Below are 10,563 nucleotides of genomic sequence, written 5' to 3'. Positions count from 1 at the left end.
TGATCCTTTGATATACATATTATATTTAATGAATGTAGTGGATTGATTTCAAAAGCAGCCACAATTTTTGAATCCTCTGAGGGTATCCATGCCCGCTGCAATGTGACTTTGCAGGTCTTGCCATCAAGAAGTTGCTTCTCCTTCTCATATTTCCAATCTGGGCTGGCCTCGTGGCTAGTTTTGACCAAGACAATGCAGCTGAGGGGACACTGTGTTGCTCCTGCACCTGGCCTCAAGACACCTTTCACGGTTCTGCTTACAGTGTTGATAAATCACCGTCAGCATGAAACCAAGCCTGGGACATCCTGTTGGTGGATGACACACACCATGGGGGAGACTGGTTCCTCCAGCTGAGACCAGGGGGCACTGCCCAGCAAGCCCACCTTCCATGTGTTGAGCTGCCTGGATCACATTGGTAGCTGCAGATTCATGAGTGAGCCCAGCTGAGAGCAGAAAAATGGCTCGGCCTCCCTCAGACCTATGTTTGGATTAAGTAAATGCTTGTTTTCTTAAGTCAGTAAGGAGTTTGTGATTGCATTCTGTCCCAGATGACTGTGGCAATGGATAACAAACACAATGGTGGTCACAATTAAAAATCCCTGTTTGTCTGAAGGAATTTCCCATTTAGACAACCTTTACCTATGTGATTTATTTAATTTTTGCAATACTTTTATTGAGTATATATTTATTCAACCTTTTTTCCTAAATAAATTGTTTCAGAGAAGTCACACATTAGTAAATTCTCAAACCTAACATCCGGATTCTGGGAGGACAGATGCTTTCCTGCAAGGGTGGTCTTCACTAGAAGAGTATCAGCTCCTAGATGGGCTGTCTGGTTCCTCTCCTAAGTTTTCCACCATAAAAATCCCACAGAATTTAAGCTTCAAGAAGAATCACTCAGGAATTTCCCCTGCATAGATAAGAAAACAAAGCCTTTACTTTCAGCATTCATTGGCCACTTTTCTCTTTTGCAGTTGATAAATATAGGAGACGTAGGTAATAATCTCAGCATGTGGGGTGAGGGCTTGTTTTTAAGAAGTCATTTGTCCTCAACACCTTAAACCTTAGGCAATTAATGCTAGAAATAATATGCTGATTTGTATGTTGTGTGTGTGTGTGTGTGTGTGTGTGTGTGTTTCCTAATATGAAATAGGAAGGCCTCAAAACTCCCTAGATGATCAAAGTTTATGACATATGCTTTTTAAGAAAATAAACTTTATTATATATACTTAAGGTATGCAACATAATGCTATGGAATATGTATAAATAGTAAAAAAAGTATACTACAGTGAAACAGATTAACATATCTGTCATCTCTCCTAGTTATTCATTTTTTTCTTTGTGTGGCAAGAGCAGCTAAAATCTAGCCATTCAGCATGAATCCCAAATACAGCTCGAGTTTATTACTTGTAGTGGTATGTTGGGCTGTAGGTCTCCAGCCTTGTTCATCCTTCATATTTGCTACTTTCTATCCCCTGACCTACCCCGCCAGTTTCCTTCTCCCACTCCCAAACATCATCACCTCTGGTAACCACTGCTTTGTTCTCTATCTCTATACATTTGGTTTTTTTGATTCCACATATAAGTGAGATCATGCAATATATATTTTTTTCTGTACCATGGCATATATTTTTAACCCATACACATAATGTACTTGGCAATGATCATTGCTGAAGTTGCATAATTCCGCTTCTCATCAGGTATCAGCCTAACCTTTTGAGGCTGCAGTGCTTGAGGTGGTATGATGTCTGTGAGAGAAAGATGATGTGTGTAGAGAGTTCATTCTTTGAGCAGAATTCATTTCCAGTGGCATCCTCCTTATAAACACAGTTGTAGTTTCACACTGTAAAAAAAGAATTAAAGAGCATAAACACCGATGATTTTAACACCACTTTCTGAATCAACAAATAGTATCTGCCTTTAAGTTCAGGTAATCAGATATAAAATTTTTCCTTGAAACAGGTTTTTGTTTCTGGTTGAAACAACTTGAGACTAGGTCAGGGGCAGAAGGCACTATTTAAATATAGCAAAATTTAAGTAAGACCTTCAGGAGTCTCATTGCCAAGGGATTAATATGATAAACCATAGTGAAAAAAATGTCAACAGCAAACTTTAGTCCTTCCTTCTCATTTCACCCTACTCCTTTTGAGGGATTACTTTGCTATTCTCTTATTTGATTATTCCATATTTCAATGACCATCCATTTCTATCATAATTCAATCCTGTACTTTAAGGACACCTACAGGGAGTTAAACACCGGTGAATTTGTAATGGTTGACAGTGCTGCAAAGCACATGAATAGACGCCAACATATATAATTCTACCACATTTTACAGTGGAAGCTTGAAAAATTTTCTTTTCTGACATAAAAACCCAGAAAATCTTCCAAGACCCAAATAGCCAAGCCCCAGAAAAGGATGAATAACCAAGCACATAGACCACTAAGAGCTCATACTACTCATATTTTTGCTATTTCAAAAAAATCTACCTCATGACATGGATTTACACACAGGGGAGTATAAGCATGTCTAATGACAGCCAAGTGACATTTGACAAAATAAAAGTCCCTTTTCATACATTGTTGCTAGGTTTCAGCAGGCTTTAATTTGCAGGTCTGGGAAAATTACACCAAGTCTATTTTACTTAATTGAAGTTAGCAACAGTCATGTGTAAAAAAAAAAAAAAAAAAAAGACCACCATTTGCATTCCTAATTCTGACTCAAGGTACATATGTGCTTATAGCAATTTTAGTGAAACTATGGGTAGATTCTGGACATGTTGACTTTAGCCATCCGATATGGAAGAAATGGATTGTGTTGTATCCTAGCTTTAGAATATTATGTGGTTAAGTGCCTCTCATATCTGCAGTATATATGGTATAAATATAGAAAAACACTGGACAAACTAAAGTTATGTATGTGTCAATTGAATATTTCATAAGAGCACTTCTTGTAGAAAATAGGTCTTGACCAGAGTATGTGAAAGTTTGTGTTTATATGATTATAATAGATCAAGCAAAACTTTTTCAGTTTTGTTCAAACTCCACTAAAATTTTTCTCCCCATGTTCCATCCAGGAGTGACTAATAGTGACAAACCCAGGGACCTAGTGAATATGGAGAAAGAAGTGAAGGTATGTCAGGAATTGAGAGCATACCATGTGCACTTTTTCTTAGACCATATAGTTTTGTTTTCACAATCATGTGATGAGTTCTTGTGTTTGTTAGTTTCATGTGTCAATTTGGCTAGGCTGTGGTGCCCAGATATTTGGTTAAACAGCAGTGTAGATATTTCTGTGAAGGTATTTTTTCAAATGAAATTAATACTTAAATCAGTAGACCTTGAATAAAGCAGATTATTGTCTGTAACTTGAGTGGGCCTCTTTGAATCACCTGACCTTAGAGAAAAAGATGAAGGTCTTCCGAGGAAGAGGGAATTCTGCCTCTAGACTCTCTTTTGATTTGAGCTGTAACAACGCCTCCTCCCAGAATCTCCAGCCTGCCGGCCTGCTCTGCAGATTTCAAACTTGCAGCCCCCAAAACCACGTAAGCCAGTTCTTTAAGATAAATTTATGTGTATGTGTATGTCTATGTGTATGTATATGTGCATGTGTATGTGACTATACAAGTGTATTTATATGTATCTATATATTTATGTGTGCGTATATGTATATGTGTATGTATAAGTGTGTGTATATGTGTATATATGTATATGTGTATCTATATGTATATGTGTATATGTATGTATGCATACATGCATATTTATATGTGTGTATGTATATGTGTATGTGCGTGCATACATTACATGTGCATGTGTATGTATATGTGCATTTTATGTATATTTGCACATATTTGTGTATGTGTACATATGTGTATGTGTATCCACATGTGTATGTATATGTGTATGTGGAGGTATATGTGCATGTGTAGTATATACATGTGGATGTGGATGTACATGTGTGTATGGATGTGTATGTGCTTGTGTATGTGCATATATATGTGCAAGTGCATGCATATATGTATGTCTATGTGCATATGTATATATATAAGTATATGTATATGTATATGTGCATGTGTATATGTATGTATTTGTGTACGTGTATGCATATGTGCATGTGTATCTGTGTATGTGCACGTATATATGTATGTCTGCATGTGTATGTATGTGTGTGTGTATGTGCATGTGTATGTATATGTGTATGTGCATGCATATGTATATGTAAATGTCTATATGTATACACACATACACAGCCCATTGGTTCTGTTTCTCTGCAGAACAACGGCTAATAAGAGTTATCTGTTATTATCTCTGATGTCCAGTTGAGGAAACTGAGGCTCAGAGAGATTAAGAGACTCTTCCAAGATCAAAAAAGTGGAATAGATATTCAAATGAGAACTCCAAGCCCAGTTCTCTTTCCACTGGAGGCTGGATATCAGAGGCGTCTGGCTATAATTTATGGGAAGAGGTCCAAGCTGGGCAGCTGTTGGAGTCAGGGAATTTTGTCTACAGGAAGCAAGGATCAGGTAAGATAACTGGATCTGAGGGGAATGTCTACTCACTAAGAGCAATAAAGGGCTGTGGCATTCACACTGACAGTTCAGTGAGGTGTAGGGGCAAGATGGGAGGTGTCATAGGAAAATTGGAGTGCAGACAGAGTTTCTGATGGAATTCATGGAGATGGAGCAAGGGTGCCGTGTGTAGGGAATCATGTGTGATTAGATGAAATTGGCAGTGATTTGGAAGTCAAGTTAAACAATCGACATGTGATTTATTTCATTGTAAAGTATATATTGAGCACTCAGCCACATCATGAAACTCCTTCAGTGAAAGGATGGGAAAGGATGTGGAGCTCATATTCTAGTGGGGAAGATAAACATCAAAGAAATAATTATGCACAGAATTATGTTACTGCAGGTGCGATAAGCACTATGAAGAGAAAGCTGTGTGTATCAGGAAGAGCAGCCTCGTCTATTAGGAAAGCCTTCTTGGATGAAGTGGTGTTTTATGGGGCAGGACAATGGTTCTTAGCCTTCTTCCCAGCATGAGCTAAACAGGGGTGTCTACAGCTTACATTAAGTAGCTGTGATTTCTTCTTCCCACTGGCAGAAATAAATTTAATGAATGGAGAAAATGTCTCACTTCTAGTTTTCCTCTCATCGTATATTTTTAATCATGGCACCTGCTACTACTTCTCTGTGCTAGCACGTGACAAATGAATGAACAAGTTGCAAATGAATACTAATGAAAAGCTGGAAATAATGCATCATATTTATTTTAACAGTTTTTTTGTTATCATTACTATTTTGTTTTGTGAAGCCATGTAGTTTTTTCATGGAAACATACTAACATTATCCCTAGTTGAGATGATGGAATTAAACATGCAAGTGTCATGATGTTCCACAAAATGCACCAAGAGCCAATCCAAGGAATGCCGTGGGGCAGCAGGAGGCTGTGCTAATTTTGTGTACAGGGAGGAAAGAGGATATGAAATTCTTCCATACGCCAACTACTTCCTATGTGCCAAGACTTGTATGTGTATGATCTCACTGATCCTTTACAACGATACAGTGCGATGGGTGTCAGCAGTATTCCTATTTTGAGGTGAGAAAGTGAGGCTTAGAGAAATCCATTGACTTGCCCAGTCATAGCATTCGCATATGGCAAATGGTTTAGAATCAGGCATCCCAATTCAAGATGTCTGCGTTACTCAGTGGTCACCAGAAAATAGTGTATGTATGTATTTGTATAGATATAGATGTGTGTGTGTGTGTATATATATATATGTGTGTGTATATATATATGTGTATATATATGTATGTATATATATATGTGTATATATATGTATGTGTGTGTGTGTGTATATATATATATATATATATGTATTTATGGAGAGAGACAGAGAATCAGAGAGAAAGAGATTTCAGGAATTGGCTCACCCAATTGTGGGAGTGACAAGCCTGAAATGTATAGGGCAGGCTGGCAGGCTGGGGATTTAGGCAAGGGTTGATGTTGCAGCTCAAGTCTGAAGGCTTGAAACTGTGGTACAGGTTTTACTTTATAGCCTTAAGATGAATTTTTTCTTCTATGAGAAACCTCATCCTTTGCTCTTAAGGTCCTCAACTGATCGAATGAGGCCCATTTGCATTACGGAGGGTGATCCACTTTACTCAACATCTACTGATTTCAGTGTTAATTGCATCTAAGAAATACCATCACAGCAATAACTGGATCAGTGTTTGGCCAAACAAGGAGACACCATCGCCTGGCCAAGCTGACGTGGAAATTAGCCATCATGACATCTTCCCTTAAATTATTGGGTTGTACCTTCTAAACTCCGGTTTGGCATTGCCCAGACTAAGGCTGAACTGGAAGTACGATTTCAGACTCTGGCGCAGATGGTGGCTGGCTCATGTCTCTGTCTGTGTGAAGGGCTGACTCCCTGGGAAACACCTGTTCACCTGCCTCCCCACCCTGCTGTTCCTCATGAACTCGTTCCATCTAACTACTTTCCCAGTTACATCTTGTGTTTTTGGTCCCTGTTTTTGCCTCTTGTTCTACCATCTTTTGGTAAACCATCTTTATGCTGGCTTTTCCGACCTCACCCTTGCCCCTGGAGTGCTTACATGAGAGATTTTTTGGTTGACCTTCTGGGACTCTAAAGCCTTTCCCAGCTCAGATTTCAGAATTGCCCCTTGGCCTCTTCTCCCAGAGAAATTAGGACAAACCTTCCCTCAGATAGTCTCTCCCTTGCAGATTTCTGCATTCCGGGGTGTATGTGTGGAGGACTTTGCAGGGGATATGCATGATGGCGTAAGGGAATTAATTTCTAAAACTTCGACTTCCATATTACTATTTCCTAACGTTGATGGGCCCAAAAAGGGACCTGAGAGGGAGACTACCTTTGAACTTCCCTTTTCATAATCAACTCTTCACATTTGAGAAGAGCATGAGTCTCATGCATAGCAAATCTGATCCCCGAGGAGGTAAACCCCGAGAAGAACCTAACAAAATATGATTTATTAGTTCCTTTAATCAAAGCACCGTAATTGTTCCCCAACCCAATATTATCTCAATAAGAGATAACTTTGCAATGAAAGTTAATTATTTATGTTTAATAATTACTTATAAAAATGTAATACACTTATTATGCCTTACTGATTACTTGTATACCATTAATGATTTTAATCATAGTCATTCATCACTTAGTGATGGGAATATGTTCTGAGACATGAGGTCTTAGGCACTTTTGTCCTTGTACAAACATCACAGAGTGTCCTGGCATAGACCTGGACAGTACAGCTGACTACACAGCTGGATATATGGTATGGCCTATTGCTCTAAGCTATAAACCTGTAGCATGCGTTGCTGTAATGGGTAGTTTAGGCAATTGAAACACAATGGTAAATATTTGTATATCTAATCATAGAAAAGGTACAATAAAATATAGTATAAAATATTTTTGAAAGGGTGTACCTGTATAGAGCACTTAACCATGAATGGAGCTTGCAGGACTGGAAGTTGCTCTGGGTGAGTGAGTGAGTGACGAGTGAATGTGAAGGCCGAGGACATTAGTGTACACTCCTGCAGACTTTATAAACACTCGACATTAGAGCTACATTAAATTTATGAATTTTTTTCTTTTGTCAATTATAAATTAACCTTAGCTTACTGTAAGATTTTTACTTGATTAACTTAAAATTTTTTTTGACTCTTTCTAAACATAGAAAGAGTATTTTAAGTAATACCCTCACTCACTCACCCAGAGCCACTTACACCTGCAGTCCCCACTCAACCCCAGCACCCTGCTGGCTGAAGTCTGCGTGGAGCAGTGCACCCTCATGGACTCCAAGATGAAGCCCCTGTGGATCATGTACAGCAATGAGGAGGCAGGCAGTGGTGGCAGGGTGAGCGTCAGCCTTAAGAGGGATGATGACCTCTGGCAGGACATGCTGACCATGCAGACGATCCGGCTCATGGACGTCCTGTGGAAGCAGCAGGGGCTGGACCTGAGGATGACCCCCTAAGGCTGCCTCCCCACTGGGGACCACACAGGCGTCGTTGAGGTGCTACTCCACCCAGACACCATCGCCAACATCCAACTCAACAACCGCAACATGGATGGAGGCAACGAAGAGTTCACCCTCTCCTGTGCTGGCTACTGTGTGGCCACGTACGTGCTGGGCATCGGTGATCGGCACAGCGACAACATCATGATCCGAGCGAGTGGGCAGCTGTTCCACATTGATTTTTGCCACTTTCTGGGGGAATTTCAAGACCACGTTTGGAATCAACCGTCAGCGTGTCCCATTCATCCTCACCTATGACTTTGTCCATGTGATTGAGCAGGGGAAGACTAATAATATGAGAAATTTGAAAGGTTCCGGGGCTACTGTGAAAGGGCCTAACACCATCCTGCGGCGCCACGGGCTTCTCTTCCTCCACCTCTTTGCCCTGATGCAGGCAGCAGGCCTGCCTGAGCTCAGCTGCTCCAAAGACATCCGGTATCTCAAGGACTCCCTGGCACCGGGGAAAACAGAGGAGGCGCTGAAGCACTTCCGAGTGAAGTTTAACGAAGCACTTCCGAGTGAAGTTTAACGAAGCACTTCCGAGTGAAGTTTAACGAAGCCCTCCGCGAGAGCTGGAAACCGAGTGAACTGGCTGGCCCACAACGTGTCCGAAGATAACCGGCAGTAGCGGCTCCTCCCTGCCCCGGCCCGAGAGGAGGCAGCCGCGAGTCGTGGGGACCAGGCACGTTGGTGGTCCTAAAGGGGCTGAAGAGCCTGACCTGCACCTCACGGGAAAGAACCTACACAGCCACCTTTTTTTTTTTTTACACTAGTTATTTCTGTATGACTTGAAATGTTTAAGGAGCTAAACAGCCATAAACGGAAATGCCTCCTTCGCGCAGCGGCGGTGCTGGGCTGCTCGAGGCTGCACCTTGCTCTTGGCTGAGGAGGGTCACCCCAAGTCTTCCAGCCGGTGGATCTGGGCCCAGCAAAGACTGTTCTGCTCCCCGGGGACCTTCTTCCCAGGCCAGACTGCCTGGGTCCAAGCACTTGGCGGTCACCTGGTGCCTACTGTCCGACAGGACGCCCCGATCCTCATCGGCTCGAGCGACCCACCTTGTGCATCCTCTCTAGACTGAGTTCTGGCAGCTCCCCGAGGGGGCCAGGGTACCCTCTAGATTCAGGGATGCTTGCTCTCCACTTTTCAAGTGGGTCTTGGGTACAAGAATTCCCTCGCCTCTGTCTATTGTAAAGTGATTTTGTTTGCAGGTAAGAAAATAATAGACGACTCACCAAACCTCTACGGCTGGAGAGATCGGGCCCAGCCCCATAAAGCAGTATATGTGCTGGTCCTCAGGGCATGTTAAAGAGACCTGGGCCTCATGGAGCTCACCCTGGTCATGCATGAAGCTGGTCAGAGGCGAACACTGCCATTATCTCAATTTTTTTTTTTTTTTTTTTTGAGACAAAGCCTCACTCTGTTGCCCAGGCTGGAGTGCAGTGGCGTGATCTTGGCTCCCTGCAACCTCCACCCCCCGGGTTCAAGTGAGTTTCCTGCCTCAGCCTCCTGGGTAGCTGGGATTACAGGAGTGCACCACCACGCCCAGCTAATTATTGTATTTTTAGTAGAGACGGGGTTTTACCATGTTGGCCAGGCTGGTCTCGAACTCCTGACCTCAGGTGATCCACCCACCTCAGTCTCCCAAAGTGCTGGGATTTCAGGCGTGACCCACCGTTCCTGGCTCACTCTGCCGTTATCTGTGAGCCGCCTCTGAAAGCAGGTTTTAACAAAAGGGTGAGGCCAGATCTCTTCCAGAACCATCACCTTTGGGAACCTGCTGTGAGAGTGCTCAGGTAGCAGAAGTGTGAGAACGAGGGGGCGTGCTGGGATCTTTCTCTCTTGACTGTATTTAGTTTGAAATGGGGCAGGCTTAGCCTTAAGCCTCCAAAGGCCTGGATTTGAGCAGCTTTAGAAATGCAGGTTCCAGGGCCTCTCCCAGCCTTCAGAAGCCAACTCTGCAGATGTGTCTAGGACTGCGGGCTTTTAGCAGCCCACAGGTGATCCTAATGTATCAGCCGTGGACTCAGGACCTGCCCGGTGATGCTGTAGGTCTCTCAAAGGTCTTCCAAAACTCCACTGAGCCAAAAGTAGCCGCCTGCTCAGCAGCTCAGGTGCCAGCTCTGTTCTGATTCACCAGGGGTCCATCAGCAGTCAGTGCCACCCACGGGGCACCTCCCTCGCCACATGCCTGTTCCTAGCAAGTGCTGAAACTCACCAGACCCCCTGCGTGTTTTGAAATGGAAAAGCCGTGCGCGCGCATATGTGTTATTTATTTAAGTGCACCTGTGTGCGCGGGCATGGGAGCGCACTTTGCAAGCCGCAGCATTTCTGGTAGTGTAGAGTCTTGTGTGCCTGGAGAGAAGAATATTTTCTATTTTTTAAAAATCATTTCATGTTTCTGTCTGAGGAAGGTGAGTTCAGTATCACTGATGTGGGTAGAGCCCAGCACTTTGTGAAACCTTGAAATGAGAAGTAAAGGCAGATGAAAACAAGAAGAA

The 10,563-nt window shown here is 42.5% G+C and overlaps 1 long non-coding RNA gene and 1 pseudogene across 3 annotated transcripts; one reads left to right on the top strand and one right to left on the bottom strand.

The window, feature by feature from the left end:
* Window positions 1–656: 656 nt before the first annotated feature.
* On the bottom strand, window positions 657–8,771 carry LINC01824 (long intergenic non-protein coding RNA 1824). 3 transcript variants are annotated; one of them, XR_001739265.2, is made up of 3 exons: window positions 8,317–8,771; window positions 1,714–1,843; window positions 657–910 (listed from the first exon to the last, which is right to left on the bottom strand). It is a non-coding gene; the product is annotated as a long intergenic non-protein coding RNA 1824 (long non-coding RNA). The 3 variants fall into 3 exon arrangements; XR_001739266.3 differs by having other exon boundaries at window positions 8,173–8,680; XR_001739264.3 differs by lacking the exon at window positions 8,317–8,771 and adding an exon at window positions 7,758–7,827.
* On the top strand, window positions 7,756–8,889 carry PIK3CDP1 (phosphatidylinositol-4,5-bisphosphate 3-kinase catalytic subunit delta pseudogene 1; annotated as a pseudogene).
* The last annotated feature ends 1,674 nt before the right edge of the window (window positions 8,890–10,563 follow it).

Source organism: Homo sapiens, chromosome 2 (assembly GCF_000001405.40).
Source record: "Homo sapiens chromosome 2, GRCh38.p14 Primary Assembly".
Classification (NCBI taxonomy): domain Eukaryota; kingdom Metazoa; phylum Chordata; class Mammalia; order Primates; family Hominidae; genus Homo; species Homo sapiens.
This window is presented reverse-complemented; position numbering and strand designations above follow the sequence as displayed.